A 25,877-nucleotide genomic window follows, 5' to 3' on the forward strand; every position below is an offset into this window, starting at 1 on the left:
TACAAAATGATGAAAAATAATCCCAAAATTCATATGGAACCAAAAAAGAGCCTACATAGCCAAAGGAAGACTAACCAAAAAGAATAAATCTGGTGACATCACATTACCTAACTCCAAACTATTCTGTAACACCATAGTCACTAAAACAGCATGATACTGGTATAAAAATAGGCACATAGACCAATGGAACAGAATAGAGAACCCAGAATTAAAGCCAAATACTTACAGCCAGCTGATCTTCAACAAAGTGAGGAAAGGACACCCTATTCAACAAATAGTGCTGGGATAATTGGCTAGCCACATTTAGGAGAATGAAACTGGATCCTTATCTCTCACCTTATACAAAAATCAACTCAAGATGGATCAAGAACTTAAGACCTGAAGCCTTAAAAATTCTAGAAGATAACATTGGAAAAACCCTTCTAGACATTGGCTTAGGCAAAGACTTCATGACCAAGAAGCTCAAAACAAATGCAACAAAAACAAAAGATAAATAGATGGGACTTAACTAAACTAAAAAGCTTTTGCACAGCAAAAGAAATAATTAGCAGAGTTAACAGACAACACACAGAGTGGGAGAAAATCTTCACAACCTACACATCCAACAAAGGACTAATATTCAGAATCTACAAAGAACTCAAATCAGTAAGAAAGAAACCAATCCCATAAAAAAGTGGGCTAAGGACACGAATAGACAATTCTCAAAAGAAAATATACAAATGGCCAACAAGCATATGGAAAAATGCTCAACATCACTAATGATCAGGGAAATGCAAATCAAAACCACAATGCGATATCACCTCATTCCTGTAAGAATGGCAATATTAAAAAAATTAAAAAATAATAGATGTCGGCATGGATGTGGTGGAAAGGGAGCACTTTTATAGTGTTGATGCTAATGTAAACTAGTACAACCACTATGGAAAACGGTGTGGAGATTGCTTAAAGAACTAAAAGTAGATCTACCATTTGATCCAACAACCCCATTCCTCAGTATCTACCCAGAGGAAAAGAAGTCATTATACAAAAAAGATACTTGTACACACGTTTATAAGCAGCAAAATTCATAATTGTGAAAATATGGAACCAGCCCAAATGCCCATCAATCAATGAGTGGATAAAGAAAATGTGATATGTGCACACACACCCCATGGAATACTACTCAGCCATAAAAAGGAGCAAACTGGATGGAATTGGAGACCATTCTTCTAATTGCAGCAACCTGGATGGAATTGGAGACCATTCTTCTAAGTGAAGTAGCTCAAGAATGGAAAACCAAACATCATATGTTCTCATATGTGGGAACTAAGCTATGAGAATGTAAAGGCATAAGAATGATACAGTGGACTTTGGGGACTCAGGGGAAATGGTGGGAAGGGAGTGAGAAATAAAAGACTACACATTGAGTACAGTGTACACTGCTCGGGTGAGGGATGCACCAAAATCTCAAAAATCACCACTAAAGAACTTATTTATATAACCAAACACCACCTGTTCCTTAAAAACCTATTGAAATAAAAAGTAAATTTAAAAAAAACCTCCTGGATTCATTGATTTTTTTGAAGGTTTTTTTGTGTCTCTATTTCAGTTCAGCTCTGATCTTGGTTATTTCTTGTCTTCTGCTAGCTTGGGAGTTTGTTTCCTCTTGGTTCTCTAGTCCTTTTAGTTGTAATATTAGGTTGTTAACTTGAGATCTTTCTCTCTTTTTGATGTGGGCATTTAGTGCTATAAATTTTCCTCTTAACACTGCTTTAGCTGAGTCCTGGAGATTCTGTTATGTTGTCTCTTTGTTCTAATTAGTTTTAAAACACTTCTTGATCTCTGCCATAATTTTATTATTTACCCCAAAGTCATTCAGGAGCAGATTGTTCAATTTCCATATAGTTGTGTGGTTTTAAGTGAATTTCTTAATCTTGAGTTCTAATTTGATTGTGCTGTGGTCTGAGAGACTCTTTGTTATGATTTCAGTTATTTTTCATTTGCTGAGGAGTGTTTTTCTTCCTAATTTATGATTAGTTTTAGGGTAAGTGTCATGTGGCTATGAGAAGAATGTATATTCGCTTGTTTTTTGTTGGAGAGTTCTGTAGATATCTATCATGTCTACTTGATCCACAGCTGAGTTCAGGTCCTGAATATCTTTGTTAATTTTCTGTCTCCATGATGTGTCTAATATTGTCATTGTGGTGTTAAAGTCTCCCACTATTATTGTGTGGGAGTCTAAGTCTCTTTGAAGGTCTCCAATAACTTGCTTTATGAACCTGGGTGCTCTTGTATAGGGTGCATATATATTTAGGATAGTTAGCTCTTCTGGTTGAATTGAACCCTTTACCAACAGGTAGTGCTCTTCTTTGTCTTTTTTGATCTTTGTTAATTTAAAGTCTGTTTTGTTAGAAACTAGGATTGCAAGCTCTGTTTTTTTCTGCTTTCTGTTTGCTTGGTAAATTTTCCTCCATCCCTTTATTTTTAGCGTATGTGTTTCTTTGTGTGTGAGATGGGTCTCTTGAATACAGCATACTGATGGGTCTTGGTTCTTTATCTAGCTTGCCATTCTGTGTCTTTCATTGGAGAACACATTGAGATTTAAGGTTAGTAGTATTATATGTGGATTTGATCTCATCATCATGATGCTAGCTGGTTATTTTGCTAACTTGTTTGTGTGGTTGCTTCACAGTGTCACTGTTCTTTGTACTTTAGTGTGTTTTTCTGGTGCCTGGTAATGGTTTTTCCTTTTCATATTTACTGCTTCCTTCAGGAGCTCTTGCAAGACAGGTCTGGTAGTAACAAGTTCCCTCAGCATTTGCTTGTCTGAAAAGCATCTTATTTATCCTTTGCTTATGAAGCTTGGTTTGGCCAGATGTGAAATTCTGGGTTGGAAATTCTTTTCTTTAAGAATGTTGAATATTGGTTCCCAGTATCTTCTGACTTGTAGGGTTTCCACTGAGAGGTCGGCTGTTCATCTGATGGGGTTCCCTTTGTAGGTGACCTGGCCTTTCTGTCTGACTGCCCTTAACATTTTTTCTTTCATTTAGAGTTTGGAGAATCTGATGATTATGTGTCTCAGGGATGATCTCCTCGTGGAGTATCTCACTGGAGTTCTCTGGATTTCTTGAATTTGAGTGTTGGCCTGTCTTGCTAGAACTAACCTGGGGAAGTTAGTTCTCTTGAATCCTATGCTGAAGTATGTTTTCCAACTTGGTTCCATTCTCCTTGTCTTTTTCAGGTACCCCAATCCATCATAGATTCGTTCTCTTTATGTAATCCCATATTTTTTGATGGTATCGTTCGTTCCTTTTCATTCTTTTATCTCTATTCTTGTCTGCCTGTCTTATTTCAGAAAGATTGTCTTCAAGCTCTGAGATTCTTTTCTTGGGCTATTCTGCTGTTAATAATTGTGATTTCATTGTGAAGTTCTTGTAGTGTGTTTTTCAGCTCTAACAGGTGAGTTATGTTTTTCTCTAGACCGGCTATTTTGGCTGTCCGCTCCTGTATTGTTTTGTCATGATTCTTAGTTTCTTTGCATTGGGTTACAAGATGCTCCTTTAGGTCATTGAAGTTCACTGTTATTCACATTCTGAAGCCTACTCTGTCATTTCAGCCATCTCAGGCTCAACCCAGTTCTGAGCCCTTGCTGGAGAGGTGTTGCAGGGATATTCTGGCTTTTTGAGTCCTCAGGATTTTGGGGTTATTTCTCATCTCTGTGGGTCTATCTTAAACTTTGACCTTGAGGATGGGGTTTTTGTGGCTTTTTAAATTGTTATTGTTGTTGTTTCCTGCTTGTTTTTCTTTTAACAGTCTGGCCACTCTTCTGCAGGGCTGCTGCAGTTTGCTGGGGGTTCGCACTATACCCTAGTTGCCTCGGTTTTTCCCATAGCTGGAGGTATCATCAGTGAAGTCTGTGAAACAGCAAAGATGGCTGCCTGCCACTTCCTCTGGAAGCTCCAGCCCAGCAGCGTACTGACTTATTGCTGGCTCGAAAGTGCATGTAAGGAGGTGGCTGGAGACCCCAGTTGGGAGGTCTCCTCCAGTCAGGAGAAATGGGATAAGGGACCTGCTTAAAGAATGATTCTGGCTACTTTTTGGTAGACCAGCTGTGCTGTGTTGGGGATCCCTTCAGTTCCCATTCAGTTTGGGCTGTCCAAAGGCCCACAGGCTGAATTGGCTGAGAAGCTTGAAAGGCCTAGGTGGCAGCCTGCCCCACCCCTCAGGCACTCCATCCCGGGAAGAAATTAGAGCTCTGTTAGCCCCATAGAACATGAGTGACCTACAATTTTGATTTGCCCTTTTACTGGTGATGTTGGCATTGATCACAAACAGTGGTGTCTGCTAGCTTTCTCCTCTGTAATGTTACTTTTTCACCTTGTAATTAATTAATATTAATATTTTGTGGGGAGGTAATTTGAGACTATGTAGATATCTCTGTTCTTCATCAAACTCAATTTATTCATTTACTTGATTTGATATTTACTTGTGGTTTATTTCATTTAATAGGTTATAATTTGACAATTTTTTTAACAATTTTTTTCTTTTTAGAAATGTTTTATTTTGACAATTTTAGACTTATAGAAAAATAGTAAGAAACCTACAAAACATTCTTGGATACTATTCCCCAAATGTGAACATTTTACTATATTTGCTTTATCCTTTCTCCCCCTTTTCCTCTTCTCTTTCTAGGTAAATATAAATGTAGGTGCATAATATAGACTTTTTCTGAATGGTTTATAAGTTGCAGGTATGATGCCTCTTTATTTCTAAATAATTTTATGTGTGTCTCCTAAAAACAATGCATTATCTTGCATAATTATAGTATAACTATCAAAATCAGGAAATTAAAAATGGTTTACTGTTAATATCTCATCCATAAACCTTATTTTACTTTTTTCAGTTGTCTCAATAATATTTTTTATAGCCAAATAATTTAAGATGGGTGATTTTACAATCCATGATGTTGACTTTCATAATCCATGATGTTGAGAGGTTTCAGCATTTTTACGTTGATTCTTTCTCATCTCTGTGGGCCTATCTACCTTTGATGTTTGAGGTTGCTGGCCTTTGGAGGAGGTCGATCTGTGTCAAATTATTCTGTCTTTTTAGTCTCTTTTAGTCCAGCATGATTCCTGAGTCTTTCCTTGATTTTCATGGCATTTATGTGTTTGAAGAGTATGGGTCAGTTTTTTGTGGATTTTCTCTCAGTTTGGGTTCATAGGATATTTCTTCATGATTCAGTTCAGGTTATACCATTCAGGCAGGAAGGTCACACAAGTGAGGCTGAGTTCTTCCCAATGCAGCATATCTGGAGGCATATGCTGTTACTTGGCTCCATTACTGGCCAGTGTTGGCTTTGTTTGAGAATCTACCAGGTCTGTCCATGATAAAGTGACTATCTACCCTTTGTTTTTCACCAATGTCTTACGTGAACATAGTTTGAGGCTCTGTAAATATCTGGTTACTCTAAACATCTCACCCACTAGATTTAGCATTTCATTGATTATTTTTGTTGGGTCAGTTATTATTATGGTGGTTGCCAAATCATGATTGTCTTCATCTTTCATTCCTTCTAAGTGGATAAGTAAAACAAAACAAAACCAACCAACAAATAGGGGAGAAGGGAAAATTTATTGTTTTGCTGTTCAGGTTCCCTCCGCTTTGACCAGTGGTAGCCATTTCAAGCTGAGTTCATGTCTTTTTGAACTGTCCTTATTGTTCTTTGAATACTTCCTTACTTTCTGGCATAAGCTGTTTCAACCATACTTCGTATTTTCTCTGCCCTAGCCCTTGAATCAGCCATTTTCATTTTTTTCCAGAAGCCCTGACTTTCTTTAGGGGACAGTAATTAGAAACCAATATCTGGGCAGTAATTGTGGTAGATACGTATGGCTATTGGAGTTGTCATTGCTCATAGGCTTCCTCAGTGAACAGAGCAGAAAAATACAGCTAGATGGATAAATATACAAACATACATGCTTATATTCATCCATATTTCTATATTAGAATATACTGAAAACCATGAGTTCTTCCTGGTGATTCTAATTCCAGTTGAATCACACATGGCTCATTTTAGTTTTTTTTTCCCTTTCAGTACTCTTGACCTTTGAACAATGTGGAAGTTAGAGGGGCTGAACCCCACACAGCCGAAAATTTGCCTAAATTTTGACTTCCCTGTAATGTAACTGCTGACTGACCTGATTAACTATTGTTGACCAGAAACCTTACCCATAACAAAGTTGATTAATATATATGCTGTATATTCTATGTATTATACACTATATTCTTATAAAAGTAAGCTAGAATTGCCTTAGCTATTCCAGCTGTTTTGGGGTTCGATATAAATTTTAAAATAGTTTATCCTAATTCTGTGAAGAATGTCATTGGTGGTTTGGTAGCTGACTTCAAACTATACTACAAACCTGCAGTAACAGAAATAGCATGGTACTGTTACAACAGCAGACACATATACCAATGGAACAGAATAGAGAGCTAAGAAATAATGCAGCACACCTACAACCATCCAACCTTCAACAACTCCACTTAAAAAAAGCAATGGGGAAAGCAATGGGACTGCTGGATCAAATGGCAATTCTAAGTTCTTTGAGAAATCGCCAAACTGCTTTCCACAATGACTAAACAAGTTTAAATTCCCACCAGAAGTGCATAAACGTCCCCTTTTCTCCACAACCTTGCCAGCTTCTGTTAGTTTTTGACCTTTTAATAATAGTCATTCTGACTGGTGTGAGATGGTGTCTCACTGTGGTTTTGATTTGCATTTCTCTAATGATTAGTGAGTTTGAGCATTTTTTTCGTAGCCTTCTTGGCCACATGTTATGTCTTCTTTTGAAAAGTATCTGTTCATGTCCTTTGCCCACTTTTGATGGGGTTGTTTGTTTTTTTTCTTGTAAATTTAAGTTCCTGGCAGATGCTGGATATTAGACCTTTGTCAGATGGCTAGGTTGCAAATATTTTCTCCCTTTCTGTGAGCTGTTCACTCTGTTGATAGTTTCTTTTGCCGTAAAGAAGCTCTTTAGTTTAATTAGGTCCCATTTGCCAATTTTTGTTTTTCTTGCAATTACTTTTGGCATCTTTGTCATGAAGATCATTTCCAGGTCCTACGTCCGCAATGGTATTTCCTAGGTTATCGTCCAAGGTTTTAATATGTTTTCATTTTAGATTTAAGTTTTTAATCCTGCCTTTGCCTCCCAAAGTGCTGGGATTACAAGCGTGAGCTACCACACCCAGCGAGGAAGCCAAGTTTAACGTGTGTGCTCCACTCCTCCAACCTGGCCAAAGGGCAGTCATCATCACTGGCCACTACTGACCACAGCCTTTAGAAACTCCCCTTGAACGTGCTGGGCTGACCTTCCTCTGATCACAGGCAAGGTAACCATACACTCAAGGCCAATGATCCCATCTGCTGTGGGCTGGGTCATGCTCCCAATGCTTACAGAACCTGGGAGGCAGAGGAAAACTCTGCCCATCCCATGGGACGTTACCTGTAAGCTTTGAACACCAGAATCTTGAGGCCTATCTCTTTCTGGAAGGCTTTGTCTTCCTCTAAACCAGGAAGCTGGAGCAATTCCACCAGATTCTGTACAACAGATGCAACAAGAAAATTCATGAAGAATAGATCTTAGGTTGAATTTTTCACAGAAGACCTTGTAAGAACAGACAATGGTGAGGAAAAAAAAGCCCGAGGTCAATACAATGGGGAAAAGCCTGTGAAGTGACCTGGCAGCAGCCACACCTGCTGTCACCTCCATTCCCCTCTCATCTTGGAAACAGATTTGCCCTTTACAACTCAACTCATAGCTCACCCGCCTTCAGAGACTTCTTGGCCCATCTTAGCTGGAAGGGATCTGTTCCAGCGCTGAGCTTTTATTTTGCTTAGCATCTACTCAGATGCCTTGACTGTGTGTGTCTCACAGTCCTACTGACTGACAAACTCCCTGGGGGCCGAGATGGCATGGATTCAGGTCTCAGATGCTCTATGGCACCTGGGAGCATCTTACACAGGTGAAGTGCTCAGTGATGATCTGGGGTCACTATTCTCTGCAGATCAGCATGTCTGAGAGGTAGGGGCTCACAGACTGTGGAACTGGTGTAAGACCTTTGTCTTTTCCCAGCTACTAACAGGTCCTGCTTGTCACAGCCCCTCCATGATACAAAGTTAAGTCATTTTATGTCTGACACAGGCAAAGGAAAACGACAGGCCCTTGCCTTCCCGGTCCTCAAGGGTCAGCTGTAAGATGATGTCATAAAGCCGGATCAGGTCCTGGGGCCGGGGGGAAGCACTTGCTGTCATCCTCTGGCTGCTGCTGCAGCAGAGCCCTCTGCAGACCTTTGGCCATGCTCTCATTACACTTGATTGCCATTGACAGCTTGATGTAAGTCAGGTAGGTGGAATGCACCACACATCAGCTCAAGTTGTACTCAGAGAAGCAGAGGAACTGGGAGGACTGGACTACGAGTTGGGGCTGACCCAGAGGAAGTGGGGGGGTGAGTTGGGGCAAGGCCACAGCAGGGCCATTTGGCCTGGGCTTCAAGGGACCCTGTAATCCCAACTACTTGGCAGGCTGAGGCAGGAGAATCACTTGAATCCGGGAGGTGGAGGTTTCAGTGAGCCGAGATAGTGCCACTTCACTGCAGCCTGGGCGACAAGAGTGAAACTCCGTCTCAAAGAAAACTAAAATAGGCTGGGTGCAGTGACTCACGCCTGTAATCCCAGCACTTTGGGAGGCCGAGATGGGTGGATCACCTGAGGCTGGGAGTTCAAGACCAGCCTGACCAACATGGAGAAAAACCCCATCTCTACTAAAAATACAAAATTAGCTGGGCGTGGTGGCTCATGCCTGTAATCCCAGCTACTCAGGAGGCTGAGGCAGGAGAATTGCTTGAACCTGAGAGGCGGAGGTTGTAGTGAGCTGGGATTGCTCCATTGCACTCCAGCCTGGGCAACAAGAGCGAACCTCCGTCTCAAAAAATAAATAAATAAATAAATAAAATAAATACATAAAATAAATAAATACATAAATAAAATAGATATGTATTTATGCAAACCATAGAAAAATGTTTGGCAACCATCGCAAGATACCTGACAATGTGAAATAGTTTTATTACAACTGGCCTGACCTTCAAAGGCCTTCACAGCTCCTGCCTTCATGTTACCGTCTACTATGTTCCTCGTGCACCTTCCACTCAGCACAAACAGGCTGCACTGCCTCCGAAACACATCACTTGAATCCTGCCTCTGCTCCTTTGTCCATCTGAATCACCCTCTCCACATTTCTGACCCTGTAATCCTGATCTCACTTCATGAGGCAGTTCGCTTCTCTTTTGCATTTAGCTTTCCCCGGGGTACACTGTCAATAGCCTACTGTCTGATGTCATCAGTCAGCACTTCATCAGAGGCAATTATGTCCACAGAGCTTTTGGCTAATTACTGTCACTCCTCTTTACATGTGTGCATATGCATATCATCTTTCCCTAATGAGACTGGAAATCATGATTCATTCCCTGGAGCAGTGGTTTCCATAAGTGACCAACCCACAGACCAGTGCAAACTGGCTGCAAAAGAGCTTCCTCTGAGGAACTTATTAGAATGCAGATTCTTTGACTGCATGGGAGAGGAGGATCTCATAAATCTGGGTGTAATAGGCACAGAACGTTAGGTGTAATATGGGCGGGACTCTGGACTCAGCATATCCAACAAGCTGCTGGCTGATTCCGACGATGCCGATGAATTGCCAGGTTGGGAACTGCTGCCCCCAGAGAACCTAGCAGAGAGCTCTGTACGTGGTAGGTGCTCACTGCCCTATTGTTTGGGTGTATGCCTCCTGATAATGAACTTGATCATAACATTATTGTTGCATTATGCCTGTATTGTTTCCTTAAGTGAAGGAAGAATGCTTTTGAGTACCTAATAGGTGGCAAGCTCTGTGCCTACTTACATACATGAACTATTCCTTTTAATAACCTTTGGAGATAAAGTGGCATTTCCATTGGGCATTGGAAATCTGAAGACTTTCGTTTACAGCTGTTGCAACAGCAGAACTAGAATTCGACCTCCGACATTTCTGCTCACCAGAGGGCATGAACTGCTGGTTTGTACCTGGCTTGCAGATACCTTCTTTGGGCAGCACAATGTTCAAAATTAAAAAAACTACCAACACTTCTAAACTGGATACTTTGTATCAATATCTGGGTTTCTGGCTTCTCTTCATGGGAAAAAAACAAACAAAAAAAAAGGTTTGGTGAACACTGGGGCCCACATTCCTGCAGGGCAACAGTCACATGGAGACTTTAGATGGGCACGTGCCCAGAACACACTAGAGTCCCCATCGGTCCCCATTCTCTTACATTCTATTCCCAACTAGGTTCTTATAGGCCTGGGTTTGTGCCTGTTGCACACTTATCTACTCTCTTGCTTCCCACTGGTCAGGAAGTCTGGCAAACTTAAAAGGCCTCTTTTTGTTGCTCTCTCCTGTATGGATCTCTCATCATAGAGGTGTGTGCATTTCTGACTTTGTGATTTCAATACTAAGGAAGCTGTCGGCACATTATCAAGGAAAACGGGGATCGCTGCTCCCCAACGTACACATTCTGGTGTGCCCCAGTAAAATTCTGTATTCAGCCTCCAAACTAGCTGGGAAAAATGTGGCAAATCATCTACTTGCTCCAATTCAATGGTGTTTAGAAGTAGGAAGTCACTGTGAGCAATGCCACCAAGTGGTGGAGAGACTCCATGCAGAATCGCCACCTTCAGCCAGAGAGGCTGGGAGGCCGAAGACCTCTCTCAATGCACAGGGCCATTCAGAAACTAGAAACAAAATGCTTGCTCATCTCCCTAGGCCACTCCTTCCGAGGCTTTTTGAGACAAGGTCTCACTGTCACCCAGGCCGGAGTGCAGTGGCACAATCAAGGCTCACTGCAACCTCAACCTTCTGGTTTCAAGCGATCCTCCCACTTCAGCCTTTCGAGTAGCTGGAATGACTACAGGCATGGGCCACCACACCCAGCTGATTTTTTTTTTTCTTTTTAGTAGAAATGAGGTCTCGCCATATTGCTCAGACTGGTCTTGAACCAACACATTTTTAGCTTTTTAAAAGACAGCCTTGGCCAGCCATGGCAGCTCACACTTGTAATCACTGCACTTTGGGAAGCTGAGGTGGGCAGATAGCTTGAGCTGAGGAGTTCAAGACCAGCCTGGGCAACATGGTGAAACCCCATCTCTACAAAAAATACAAAAATTAGCTGGGTGTGATGGTGCACATCTGTGGTCCCAGCTACTGGGGAGGCTGAGGTGGGAGGATTGCTTGAGCCTGGGAGGTCGAGGCTGCAGTGAGCTGTGATTACCTCACTGCATTCCGGCCTGGGCAACAGAGACCCTGTCTCTATTTAAAAAAAAAAAAAGAAAGAAAGAAACCTAAAAACAGACTGGCACTTAAAAGAGTTGTGCTTCATTTTTTGACTTTCTGTATTAATTTTGTTTGTTCCTTTCCTTAAACAAGCTGCCACTGCTGCTGATTCAACATGTTTCATTTTATACTTTTTTTTTTTTTTTGAGACAGTTTCGCTCTTGTTGCCCAGGCTGCAGTGCAATGGCGTGACCTCGGCTCACTGCAACCTCTGCCTCCCAGGTTCAAGCAATTCTCCTGCCTCAGCCTCCCAAGTAGCTGGGTTTTCAGGCATGCACCACCACACCCGGCTATTTTGTATTTTTAGTAGAGACGGGGTTTCTCCATGTTGGTCAGGCTGGTCTGGAACTCTCAACCTTAGGTGATCTGCCTGCCTTGGCCTTCCAAAGTGCTGGGATTACAGGCGTAAGCTACTGGGCCTGGCCCATTTTATACATTTTTAATGTGTATTCTTGTTTTTGGAAAATGTGACCAGAGGACTATTAAACTCTTTTAGCATCAGTGTAGCAAGGAGGTAAAAAAACAAACAACAAAACAAACAAAAAAAACCCTTTTTGTAAAATAGGTTTGAGTATCGTTGGATTGAGCACTTACCAAGCAACTGTGCCAGGCATTTGTGTCCTTCATTTAATTCTTACAAGCCTGAGTGTTCGGTATTTTAATTTTATAGGTGAACAAATAGAAGCTGAGGGTGAAGGACCTACAGCTGTCACCTTTATCTCTTCTCAACACTGCCAACTGTCCCCTTGGATCTCCCAGACAGACAACAAGGGACATCTCTGGTTTCTCGGTGCCCCCTAGAAACCTCGGGTCATTTCAAGGCATTATGCAAATGAGAAGCTTTCCTTCTCTTCACCTCATCTCCTGATCTGCACAAAAGTGACTGTAGGACCCAGTGTAGGTACCGATGTAGGCACCAATCCTCAGTTTACCACCTGCTCTCTACTTGCTTCCCTGCCATAACTTTCTAAAAGGGATGTGAGCCATGTTTAAAGTCACCTGGTCACTGGAGGGATCTTGTTCTACCCTCTGTAGTAGTACCTCTGTAGGGTAGTACCCACTGTAGGGATCTTGTTCTACATCAGTGGTTGCCAACCTTTTTGGCACCAGGGACTGGTGTTGTGGAAGACAATTTTCCACGGACTGGGGGGATGGGGGGAATGGTTTCAGGATCAAACTGTTCCACCTCAAATCATCAGGCATTAAATTCTCGTAAGGAGGGCACAACCTAGATTGCTAGCATGCGCAGTTCACAATAGGGTTCGTTCTCCTGCGAGAATGGCATGCCGCTGCTGATCTAACAGGAGGCAGAGCTCAGGCGGTAATGGGAGCAAGGGGGAGCGGCTATAAATACAGCTCACCGCTCACCTGCTGCTGTGCAGCCCGGTTCCTAACAGGCCATGGACGGTGCTGGTCTGTAGCCCAGGAGTTAGGGAATCCTGCTCTACAGAGTTTCCAACCTCAGAGATGAAGCATCCCCTCTGTAAGTCAGAAAGAAATTATTCAAGTAGGAGAATTAAAACAGGATCACAGAGAGGGAAGCTGAAGAATTTGACATTCTGTGTTTACTTGTATGAGGAAAAACAGCACATAGAGGCATCCACAGTAATTAATTTGTTTGGATAACAGTTACAGATAAACAGGTACACCCCATATACAATTACCAATACTTTTTATACAGTTCATATTTCAGTACATCAACACTGTTTTATTTACACTCTATTTATATACATTAACATCTTTTTAAATTGGGATTATTGTCCATATGTTTTATATTTTTTATTCCAGTGATTTCCCTTTTAGGAATTTATCTGAGGGGAGAATACTCTGTAATTACTCCATAATTTGCAGGCAAATATCATCATAGCATTTTTTAGGAGAGTAAAAAGTTATTAACAACTTATATTTGTCTCACATTAGAGGAATGGTTAAATAAAGCATGGTGTATTCATTGGATAAACTATAATGCAGTTGTTGAAAATGATTACCAGGAGTTTTTGCTAACATTTATGGGAACATGCTTATGATATGTGAACATTTTTTTAAAAACAAGACATAAAGTTGCATATACTGGAAATAATACCTTCAATATTGAAAAAAATACTATTTAGGAAAAAGGACAGAAGAAAATCTGCCAAAATTTTGACAGTGGTTGCCTTTGTATTAAGAATATAAAAGGATTCCATGCCTTTTTACATTTTTCTCTGCTTTCCAAAATTTCCACATGAATATTATGCCTAGTAATCAGAAAAAAATACAGGGACACTCACTCTTATCCTTTACATTTCTCTCCTGTTTGGACCTCAGATTCCTCAGTAGAAAATTAAACTAGATGCCAGCCTGGGCAATATGATGTCACCCTGTCTTTACAAAAAATGCACAAATTAGCCAGGTGTGGTGTTGTGCACCTATAGTCCCAGCTGCTTGGGAGGCTGAGGTTGGAGGATTGCTTGAGCCCAAGAGATCAAGGCTGCAGTGAGCTGTGATCTCGCCACTGCACTCCAGCCTGGGTAACAAAGCAAGACCCTGTCTCAAAAAAAAAAAAGAAAAAAAAAGAAAAAAAGAAAATTAAACTAGACAAATTCTTAAGCCTGTCTCTCTTTTTTTTTTTAATAGTCTTATATGAAGACTATTACTTCATTTCCTGTGTTTTGTGTTAAGATGAGCTTTAAAGCAACTCTGAAAAAGAAGAGGGTGCCTATAAGTAATTCATAGACTGTTTAAACAATAGTAGAGGATCTAAGCATAGATCCCAAGAGGTAAAGGGAATCTTTATCACTTTGGGAACTTTTACTGATAAATAGAAATTACTGTCAGTACAGTCCACAAATATGTTGTTTATCAGCCATCTTTCCTCCCTGTCTTCCTCTAGCACTGTAGCCTGTGTTCCCCAGAAAATATAGTCAATAAAATTCAACATTCTTTACTAGCTTACTCTAATTTGTGGTTGGCCATAAAGTATTCCTGGTAGAGATAATAGAGATAATATTTAACTGGCCATGAGAAAGGAAACACTATCGTATATGATACACCCCTTTTTCTACTCATTCCAACAACGATGATACAGCACGTTTCCTTTTGAAGCACGTGTTTTTTCCTTGAGTGACCAGTTCAAAAGATGATGACAGTTAATATCTTGTTACTACAGAATTTGTACTCAAAAAAGAAGTCTATAACCCAAGTCCAAGCCAGATTTCTTTTTCTAAAAAAAGAATTTTCCTCTAAGTTCCCCTTTTTAAATGAGCTTTTTAGCCTGGATAATTATGCAGTGCTAGAACCTTAACTGCATGATCAAACCCAACCTTGCTTGTTTATAACAGCATTTGACAGCCTCGTGACTCTCACATAGGGAAAAAGTCTCGCCTGAAAACCCATGCTAAGCTGCATGTCTTGAGCTGTGCCAATTTGTATTCCAGGCAGCCTAAGGTTCCCATCGTGAGTTTCAGGAAGGGAAATTCATGGAGGAAGTTCACCTCTGGAAGGGTGAGGAGCAATAAATAGGGTGGGTGATGGACATATGTGACGTTTGCCACAGAGAGGCAGTCAGTATGGGCCTTGTGGTCCGGGCTCTGCTTTGGGACACAAATATAAACTGTGTGAAGTCTTATGGTAGCATTCATAACCCTGATGCTTCACCCACCTTCCCATACATTAGAGGGACAAACAGAAGGATCCCAGCTCTATGGTTCTTGATTGTTTGTCAGGTAGCAGCCAGGCATGGAGAGGGAAAAATTCTTTCTTTTCTGCTGCACTCTAGATCCTTCCTTCTCTCCTCCTTCATTCTACACCACCCCCAACACATATCCCTGCACCCCGCCCATTCTTTGCTCTCTCCTTTCTTACACTTAACTCCTTCTTGCTCCACAGCCTAACATGCTGATTAACAGGACCCCAAAGGTTTGGGTGGGTATTAGGGGCCTTCTCAACAAAAGCAGCACACTCTTGAGCTTGTTCTTCCTTTTGTTGCCATCTCAGATAAAAAGGCCCCATGAGGGAGGAGACAGATAAGTATAGACTTGGTATTCTGATAACTCTGTGTTACATGGGATCAGATGTAAATGAGTTGTACCCTGTGATGTTTCATGCTCTGCTGTGTTGTCTTCTCATGGTGAGCTTTTCTGTGCCCTTATTTCATCCAGCTCTGGTTTCTGTGTTTCATGTTATTTCTCCTAGCCTCTGTAAACTCTGCAGCATACGAATAATGCTCTGGCTTTCTGATTAAAGATAAATGGCTTACTATCATCACCCCTGGCTTGAGGGCCAGCTCACATGTAATCCCTTATAGGATTCCAAAGTTGTTAAATAAATGCAGTTCTTTTTGTCATTTTGAAGCATTCAAAAATTTTTCAAGAAAAGCTATGATCATATAAATAGAAATTTTATCCAGAATGTTACAATGTAACATTTGTGAATAAATGTGTAGGTGCTGTATTTGCTCAGACTCTAGTTTGGGTTGTGTTTTCTTTTCCCTTTTTTTTTTTTTTTTTTTGAGACAGGGTCTCTCTCTGTCATCTGGGCTGCAGTGCAGTGGCGTAATCACAGCTCACTGCAACCTCTACTCCCAGGCTCAAGCAATCCTCCTGAGTAGCTGGGACTAGAGACATGCGCCACAACGCCCAGCTAATTTTTAGGTTTTTCTTTCACATAGACAGGGTCTCTGTTGGCCAGGCTGGTTTCGAACTCCTGGACTCAAGCAATTCCCCCCACCTCAGCATCCTAAAGTGCTGGGATTACAGGCCTGAGCCACCATACCCAGCCAGTTATATTTTCTTTTTCCTTATATAGAGTAAAATAAGGGTGAGTGACCGAGAGGTTGATGCATAGCTAGATCACCAGTTTAAATGCCTTCCCACACACCCCTTTCCTCCTGTTCCCTCCACCTACAGGTTGTAGATGAGCATGAGAGTGTGGAGCAGAGTCGGCGAGCGCAAGTCGAGCCCATCAACCTGGACAGCTGTCTCCGTGCTTTCACCGGTGAGGAAGAGCTAGGGGAAGATGAGATGTACTACTGTTCCAAGTGTAAGACCCACTGCTTAGCAACAAAGAAGCTGGATCTCTGGAGGCTTCCACCCTTCCTGGTATGTTACAGTCCTGCCTCTGAGAGAGCAGGAATCTAGCATAAAAGAAAGAAGACATGAACAAACAGGAGGTTTTGTTATTTTTGAGAATAAGACTTTTCCTGCAGCAGTGTTTAAAACACTTTCTGTACAAGGTTTTTATGTTGAATACAGAGATGAATCTTTCTACAAATATTTGGTAGTTCCTTTTCCTAAAGAACTTACAACCTAGAAGAAGAGATCAATCATGTAGACCAGTAACTGCAATTCAGTGTGATGTGAGAACTGCCACAAGGGTTACAACGTGGTGAATTTGAACTTCAGGAGAGGGTGAACTTCTGGCTCTGTGGAGAGAGGAAGCTCAGGCTAGCCCTTTGTGGACTCTAGAAGAGCAACTGAGCCCGGAGCCCCCAACACCCACTGCACATAGTCATGTGGCTGTGGCACGCTGCTGAGTTGAGTGTGTGTGCACAAGCACACCAGTGCACTAGGGCCTGTGTGTTCTTTTAGATTTAATTTACTTCTGCCTTCTCCCTTCATGGATTAGGAGACTGTCCTTTTGTTTGTCAGGAGAGTTTGAAATGACAAATCTTCCTATTCATTAAGATCAGTGTAACTGTAAGGTACTGGCCTATTTTAATCAGATATTTATATGTATGTTCTTTCTTTTTTTTTTTTTTTTTTTTCGGAGACAGGGTCTCACTGTGTCACCCAGGCTGTAGTGCAGTGTTGTAATCTCAGCTCACCGCAACATCCACCTCTTGGGCTCAAGTGATTCTCTTGCCTCAGTCTCCTGAGTAGCTGAGATTACAGGCATGCACCACTACCACCTGGCTAATTTTTGTACTTTTAGTAGAGATGGGGTTTCACCATGTTGGCCAGGCTGGTCTCGAATTCCTGACCTCAGGTGATCCGCCCACCTTGGCCTCCCAAAGTGCTGGAATTACAGGCATGAGCCACCATGCCCAGCCGTATTTTCTTATTCTAATCATGTCTCTGTCACACTACTCTGTGAAGCTGAATGTAGGTTTTTCTTAGACCAGAACAGCTTCCCAGGGAATGATGCACAAGAAATTAATAACACTGGTTGTCAGCTAGCTCCACAGATAAGAACTAGAGGGAAGGGGCAGGCTTGGGGACAAGGTGGGTGGGGAGGAGGGGGAGACCTTTTTTTTTTCTTTTGAGATGGAATCTCGCTCTGTCGCCCAGGCTGGAGTGCAGTGGCAAGATCTCAGTTCACTGCAAGCCCCACCTCCCAGGTTCACACCATTCTCCTGCCTTAGCCTCCCGTGTAGCTGGGACTACAGGCGCCCACCACCACGCCTGACTAATTTTGTGTGTGTTTTTTATTTTTTTTTTTTTAGTAGAGACGAGGATTCACTGTGTTAGCCAGGATGGTCTCGATCTCCTGACCTCGTGATCCACCTACCTCGGCCTCCCAAAGTGTGGGGATTACAGGTGTGAGCCACCATGCCTGGCCAAGGGGGAGACATTTTTAAAAAAATTGAGGTATAATTAACATACAATTAAAAGCATAGATTTTTAATATCCAGTTTGATGAATTTTAACAAGTATATATTTTCATATAATCATCAAATAAAACAAGCAGAGCGGTCATGTAGCCCAGTAACTGCAATTCAGTGTGATGTGAGAACTGCCACAAGGGGTACAACGTGGTGAATTTGAACTTCAGGAGAGGGTGAACTTCTGGCTCTGTGGAGAGTGGAAGCTCAGGCTAGCCCTTTGTGGACTCTAGAAGAGCAACTGAGCCTGGAGGCAGTACCCACTGCGCAGTCACGTGGCTGTGCCACGCTGCTGAGTTGAGTGTGTGCACAAGCACACCAGTGCACTGGGGCCTGTGTAGAGGCCTTTAGGAAACCATATTTTTGAAGTCTTTAAAAAATAATGAAGAGTAAATGTTCTGTTATATATTCCCAAACATTCACATGTATTTGACTTGTTTTTTCCATGTAAATTTTGTATCTTCAGAACGCTTTAATGCAATGTTTTCTACCTTTACTTCTCCAGATTATTCACCTTAAGTGATTTCAGTTTGTAAATGATCAGTGGATAAAATCACAGAAAATTGTCAAATTTCCTCGGGAAAGTTTTGACCTGAGTGCTTTTTTGGTACCACGAGACCCGGCTCTCTGCCAGCATCAACCACTCACACCCCAGGGGGATGAGCTCTCCAAGCCCAGGATTCTGGCAAGAGAGGTGAAGAAAGTGGATGTGCAGAGTTTGGCTGGGGAATAGGACATGCTCCTGAGCAAAAGCCCATCCTCACTCAGCGCTAACATCAGCAGCAGCCCAAAAGGTGAGGCCTGGGGGCCTTATGCAGTTGCTTTCTTGGGACTCCTGTAGGCTACATATGTTTCTCTGTCTTCTGTTCTGGAACATCAGGTTGGTTGGGTGGAAGGAACCTATCTGGAATCAGACCTATCTGTATTTGAGCTTTGTAAGTTTTATCAAGAGATTCAGCCTCCCTGAATCTATTTTCTCATCTGTAAAATGGAGATAATGCCAGGTTTACAGAGTTGAGAGTTTGACACATGGAGAGTAAAGCACTTCACACAGTGCCTGATGTATGGTAAACAGGAATGGTAGCTGCTGTCTTGTCCCCTTATAGTGAAAGTTCTGAGGTTCCCCATCTTTCAGGGGGTCTAGAGGATCAAAACTCTTTATTTATTTATTTATTTTATTTTTTATTTTTTTGAGACAGGTTCTCACTCTGTCACCCAGGCTGGAGTGCAGTGGTGCAACACAGATCACAGCTCACTGCAGCCTCGACCTCCTGGGGTCAATCAATCCTCCCACCTCAGCCTCCTGAGTAGCTGGGACTACAGGCACGCACCACTGCACCTAGCTAATTTTTGTATATTTTGTAGAGATGGTGCTTCGCCATGTTTCCCAGGCTGGGCTCGAACTCCTGCACCCAAGTGAACCTCCTGCTTCGGCCTCCTAAACTGCTGGGATTACAGGTGTGAGCCACTGTGCCTGGCCCAAAACTATTTTCATAAAAATACTAAGACAATATGTGCCTTTTCACTTTTATTCTCTCACAGATGTACAATGGTGTAAGAGACAACATGACGTGGAATAATATCGTCACTTTGACAGTGAAGATCTGTGCTAATGTATTGTACTTTTTCATGCCTCAGTTTTAGTTTCTAATACAGGAAATATTGATAGATAAAATTCACATAAAAGTTCTAAAGGTTCTCAGTAATTTTTAAAGGTATAAAAGGGGGTAGGGGTAAGAGGCTATAACCAAAAAGTTTAAAGCCTTACAGGATTTTTGTGAGACATAGAGGTAACAATGGACAGCAAGAAATTCCCAGTACCATGCCTAACAATAGGAAGTACTCAGTAAATGGTGGTCGCATTTTTTGTCTAATTTTACAAAGGAGAGGAATATGTATTTGGAAAACTCCTTACTCTTAATAATTAGATTTTTTTCAACTGAATCTGACATAAATCATCTTTCTGCTATTTTCTGAGTCCCTATAACCTACTTTACATTTTCAGGACATTGTTGCTTATAGGGACTCGGCATTGAAGAAGACAAAAATGTAACTTACCTGCTACACAATAGGAACTAAAGGGTAGCCAGTCACGACTCCCCTGTCTTTACCTTTGTGTGCACATTTGTGAAGCTAACCTCAGAGTTAGCATTTGGGGCTGGCTTACTTTGTGGCATTTGGATTTGTGAATCTTTTCTTCTGTCCTGTTCACAGGTTCTCCTTCTTCATCAAGAAAAAGTGGAACCAGCTGTCCCTCCAGCAAAAACAGCAGCCCTAATAGCAGCCCACGGACTTTGGGGAGGAGCAAAGGGAGGCTCTGGCTGCCCCAGATTGGCAGCAAAAATAAACTGTCAAGTAGTAAGAAGAACTTGGATGCCAGCAAAGAGAATGGGGCTGGGCAGATCTGTGAGCTGGCTGACGCCTTGAGCCGAGGGCATATGCGGGGGGTGGGCAGCCAACCAGAGCTGGTCACTCCTCAGGACCATGAGGTAGCTTTGGCCAATGGATTCCTTTATGAGCATGAAGCATATGGCAATGGCTATAGCAATGGTCAGCTTGGAAACCACAGTGAAGAAGACAGCACTGATGACCAAAGAGAAGACACTCATATTAAGCCTATTTATATGCAATTTCAGTAAGTGGTTTATTGTATGGTTTTCGGAGAGTGGTCTGTGTTTTGTTCACTTGTCTTCATGTATTCATCAGCAAGTATTTTTCAGGTCCTGCTTATTTCCTAGCATTGAGCTTAGTGATAGAGAAAGTTAACATAGAAATCTGGGCCTGCCCAGGTGTGGTGGCTCACACCTGTAATCCCAGCACTTTAGAAGGCTGAGGCAGAAGGATCGCTTGAGCCCAGGAGTTTGAGACCAGCCTGGGCCCCATCTCTACAAATAATTTTAAAATGGAGCGAGGTATGGTGGCATTGCCTGTGGTCCCAGCTACTTGGAAGGCTGAGGCAGAAGGATCACCTGAGCCCAGGAGGCCAAGTCTTTAGAGAGTTGTGATCACTCGACTGCACCCCAGCCTGGGTGATAGAGCAAGCCCCTGTCTCAAAATAATAATAATAATAGTAATTACATTATAAAATGATTGTTTATCCACACAAGACTTGGAGCTTATGACTTTTGTATTTTGCTTTTTGCTTATTTTGGTTTTAGAGAAAGTTAGAGGGTTCTAAAATATTTTCTCACCTACTGATCATTTACATGATCACTGTTCTCCTGCTCAGATCCTAGTGCTATACCCTGGCCATAGTACAGTTAACTACTAACATACATCCACTCTCTTATCTCTTACAGTGCCATTCAGGAATTCTGAGTGGGGGCCATTACGTCACTTATGCCAAAAACCCAAACTGCAAGTGGTACTGCTACAATGGCAGCATCTGTGAGGTAAACATTCTCAATCTTTGAATGAAAGTTAGAAACAATCAACAGAACTGGGGAACATTTTTTGAAATAATGGACTATCTCTTGAATAGGAAATAGATATTTCTGTTAGAATCAATATATAGATGCTGTCAGTATTAAAGAAACAAAAGTGATATGCAGAATAGGGAATGAAAACATGAGTAGCGAGGAAAAATAAAGAGTTAGTTGACCGGGCGCAGTGGCTCATGCCTGTAATCCCAGCACTTTGGGAGGCTGAGGCAGGCTTAGGAGGTGGATCACTTGATGTCAGGAGTTCAAGACCAGACTGGCCAACATGGTGAAACCCCATCTCTGCTAAAAATACAAAAATTAGTTGGGCATGTTGGCACATGCCTGTAATCCCAGCTACTCAGGAGGCTGAGGCAGGAGAATGGCTTGAACCTGGGAGGTGGAGGTTGCAGTGAGCCAAGACTGCACCGCTGCACTCCAGCCTGGGCAACAGAGCAAGACTCTGTCTCAAAAAAAAAAAAAAAAAAAAAGGAGTTAGTTAATGCAAAAAACTCCTATCTTATAGACTTAGAATTTGATGGGGTTGGACCAAGTGCAGTGGCTCACGCCTGTAATCCCAGCACTTTGGGAGGCCAAGGTGGGCAGATGATGAAGTCAGGAGATCGAGACCATCCTGGCTAATATGGTGAAAGCCCGTCTCTACTAAAAATACAAAAAATTAGCCAGGCGTGGTGGCACATGCCTGTAGTCCCAGCTACTCAGGAGGCTGAGGCAGGAGAATCACTTGAACCCAGGAGGCAGAGGTTGCAGTGAGCTGAGATCGTGCCAGTGCACACCAGCCTGGTGACAGAGCAAGACTCCATCTCAAAAAAATAAATAAATACAAAATAAATAAATAGAATTTGATGGGGTTTTAGGTCATTCTGTTTTGACTTGTCTATGGTCAAAATATTTTCTCCAAAGCAAACATTGGAAATAATGGGGCTCATTTTAAAGGGGCAGGTGTGAGACAGCCAAACTAGCGAGCTTATTGGAAGCAATCAGGTTTAGTAATTACAGAGGGTTGGTCTTCCCTTTCCTGGCAAGGATTTAGAGCCATAATAGTGATGGCTTTTTGTTAAAGGTTTTTCTTGCCCTTTCAGGAACGTCACCCTGATGAAATTGACACCAACTCTGCCTACATTCTTTTCTATGAGCAGCAGAGGATAGACTACGCACAATTTCTGCCAAAGATTGATGGCAAAAAGATGGCAGACACAAGCAGTATGGATGAAGACTTTGAGTCTGATTACAAAAAGTACTGTGTGTTACAGCAAAGCTACCACTCTGGCTGCTAGACAGCTTGGTGGGGAGGGAGATGACTCCTTGTAGCTGATACTTGGCAAAGATGTCACTGAGAGGCAAGCTAAATGTAGTTATTTTATCCTGTTAGAATACAAATTCTAATTAAAATAGTTAACTTTAAGAGTAGTAGTAATTTTATTTTGAAGTCTCATGCAAGTTGTCTGATAGAGAACTTTCAGGCAGATCCCACCATTAGCCTGTAAACAAAAGGTTTGGCACCAGCCACCTGGGACCAAATAAGAATTCAATTGTGCTTGTCCAGATATGAACAAATATGTAGTGAGTATAGAGTTTATCAATAATCATAACAAATATTAAAGATTTCCTTGGAGTCAAAGTAAAAAACAAAAAATTATAATGTTGTCTAGGGATGACATGATATGCTACCTCCTTTTTCCTGAAGTTTTATTCCATTCTGTTGACAAGATGGAGAAAGCAAGATCATGAAGGTGTGCAAATGATTCTTACGGCATGGGCGAGGATTTTTCAATTTATTTTTTAAAGTTTCCATACCCTTTCTTTGTCTTTCTTGCTTTTTGTTTTTGCCTTTGTGTTTATGTTTGAGATACAACCAGTCATTGGTGGCAGGGGCATAGAGTGGTCAGTCTGAAAGGGAGGCTCTCTTAAGAGCTATGTGCCTTCCACCCAGAGGGAGACCCAGTAGAAAGAAAAACATCCTGGGAAATCCAGCTACCATGGCCCTCCCAGTGGAGGCATCTTACATTTAGGATACTTCAAGTATCCTCAGAAATGTATTCTGCACCCCCGGCCCCGCCCATGCTGAGGGAAGGGGAGCAGTTGCCAATATTTGCACCATCTTCACATGCACATGTTGCAACAAGAGCTTCTGGGAAGGTAAGCAGCATCGGAGCTAGATCACGTTTCACAATTAGTGGTTGTTCTTTTCCGTGTTTATTTTGCACTTTAAAAAAGAGAGAACGCATGCAAATGAACTTGCTTGTGTGTATTTGATGGCTCTAAGGGCTATAAATTACAAACAAAACACATCCCAGACATTAGGAGTTCATAAGTATATTTAATGAAATTGGTGGTTTTAGGAAGTCAACTTTAGTTTTGCTTTGTTTGCATGTCCACTAATTTTTTTATTTTGATATTAGTCTTTTTTAAAAAATTTTACAGTAGTCATTGAAAGTTATGTTTCTTTGTTTACTTCATTTTTTCCTCTAATTATTCAAGACTGGCACAAAAGTATAAATATTATTTATTTCAGGTAGAATTTTTTTCGTGTAGTTTTTTAATATATACTTGAAGGAAATGTTTCACCTTATTTTTGGTCTTTGTTTATTCATTTAGACCCTGCAAGTTGATTCTCATTAATTGTCAGATTCCACTACACTTTCTTCCTCATAGGTAGTAATTACCAGTGTAACTAAGCATTTGTGTTCTGATATCTGAGGCCAGTAACTATTAATGTCTAGTTCTCAGAGCATTTGGAAAGGTTATCTTAAATGGCTACCTAAATTGAAATCCTTTTCAGAAAAAATATAATTGCAAATAGGTAGGAGTGGCCTAAATTATCTAATGTAATAAAGTCAGACAAAATGCATACTTTATAGTTTCAAGATTTTCAGTACATAAAATCTGTCCTTTCCTACCTGGACATGTCCCATTAAAAAGTGGGAGATTTTAAATAATTTCTTTACAGATGTTTTATTTAAGCAGGTAGCACAATCTACTAATGTTGTTTGATCTGTGTTTGTTATACTGGTTGTAATTAATTTTTTTAATTCATGAACTAGCGGAAAATTTATTAAATTAACTATTAACCACATTCACCTTGTAAATGACTGTATAAAACTTGTTGACAATGCACTGACTTTAGAAAGATGTTAATGTGCATAAATAGAGTGTAAATAAAATAGTGTTGATGTACTGAAATATGAACTGTATAAAAAGTATTGGTAATTGTATATGGGGTGTACCTATTTATCTGTAACTATTATCCAAACAAATTAAATACTGTGGATGCCTCTATGTACTGTTTTTCCTCATACAAGTAAACACAGAATGTCAAATTCTTCAGCCTCCCTCTCTGTGATCCTGTTTTAATTCTCCTACTTGAATAATTTCTTTCTGACTTACAGAGGGGATGCTTCATCTCTGAGGTTGGAAACTCTGTAGAGCAGGATTCCCTAACTCCTGGGCTACAGACCAGCACCGTCCATGGCCTGTTAGGAACCGGGCTGCACAGCAGCAGGTGAGCGGTGAGCTGTATTTATAGCCGCTCCCCCTTGCTCCCATTACCGCCTGAGCTCTGCCTCCTGTTAGATCAGCAGCGGCATGCCATTCTCGCAGGAGAACGAACCCTATTGTGAACTGCGCATGCTAGCAATCTAGGTTGTGCCCTCCTTATGAGAATCTAATGCCTGATGATTTGAGGTGGAACAGTTTGATCCTGAAACCATTCCCCCCATCCCCCCAGTCCGTGGAAAATTGTCTTCCACAACACCAGTCCCGGGGGATGGTGAGCAGAGCAGTGCAATGGCCTGACCTACCAGGTAAAGGCTCCCTCTCGATCAGGATTTCTCAACCCAGCACTAGTGACACTTGGGGCAGGATCATTCCTTGTTACGGAGACTGTCCTATGCAGTGTGGGATGTTCAGCAGCACCCCTGACCTCTGCCTACAAGACGCCAGGAAGGACCCTCTGTCTGAGTCATGACAAAGAAAAACATCCCCAGACCCTGCCAAATGTAACCTGGGGGGCAAAAACACCCACATTTGAGAACCATGGTTCTAGGATATAGGAGTGTGGACCCAGGCAGCTCAGGTTTACACAGGCTGGATTTGAGGTGCCTGTGAGACCTGCTTGCTGAGATTCTTTTGAGCAGTCAGACAGGAGGGGCTGGAACCCAGGAGAAAAGTCTGGGCAGCTTTGCTGTCTTCAGGCTCGGTGGCTGTTAGAAGGAATGTGGCAGAAAAAAAGAAAGCGATACCCAAAGAGTCTACTTCATTTAATTTAAATTTTTGAGCAAGGATTATGCTAAAGTCGCCAGGCAAGAGACCGAGATGAGCCCACCTCACAAACCCAGAAACCTCAGATCCAAGGCAGCTGTATAAGGTACAGATCGTTCCGGACTGTAGAAGAGAGGGTTAATCCAACTTCATCAGGAGAGAAATGCCATTATCCACTGAACTATTTCTTGA

At 41.7% G+C, this 25,877-nt stretch overlaps 1 long non-coding RNA gene and 2 pseudogenes across 2 annotated transcripts; 2 read left to right on the forward strand and 1 right to left on the reverse strand.

The window, feature by feature from the left end:
* Nucleotides 1–7,140: 7,140 nt before the first annotated feature.
* USP32P1 (ubiquitin specific peptidase 32 pseudogene 1) lies at nucleotides 7,141–24,754 on the forward strand (annotated as a pseudogene). Its single transcript, NR_003190.2, has 8 exons — nucleotides 7,141–7,371; nucleotides 8,184–8,384; nucleotides 12,076–12,302; nucleotides 16,292–16,483; nucleotides 18,491–18,779; nucleotides 20,200–20,620; nucleotides 21,285–21,377; nucleotides 22,508–24,754. The product of NR_003190.2 is annotated as a ubiquitin specific peptidase 32 pseudogene 1 (transcript).
* On the reverse strand, nucleotides 7,383–8,488 carry SRP68P1 (signal recognition particle 68 pseudogene 1; annotated as a pseudogene).
* Nucleotides 9,128–10,750, forward strand: FAM106C (family with sequence similarity 106 member C). The gene has a single exon (NR_170993.1). It is a non-coding gene; the product is annotated as a family with sequence similarity 106 member C (long non-coding RNA).
* Nucleotides 24,755–25,877: the final 1,123 nt, after the last annotated feature.

Source organism: Homo sapiens, chromosome 17 (assembly GCF_000001405.40).
Source record: "Homo sapiens chromosome 17, GRCh38.p14 Primary Assembly".
Taxonomy (NCBI): domain Eukaryota; kingdom Metazoa; phylum Chordata; class Mammalia; order Primates; family Hominidae; genus Homo; species Homo sapiens.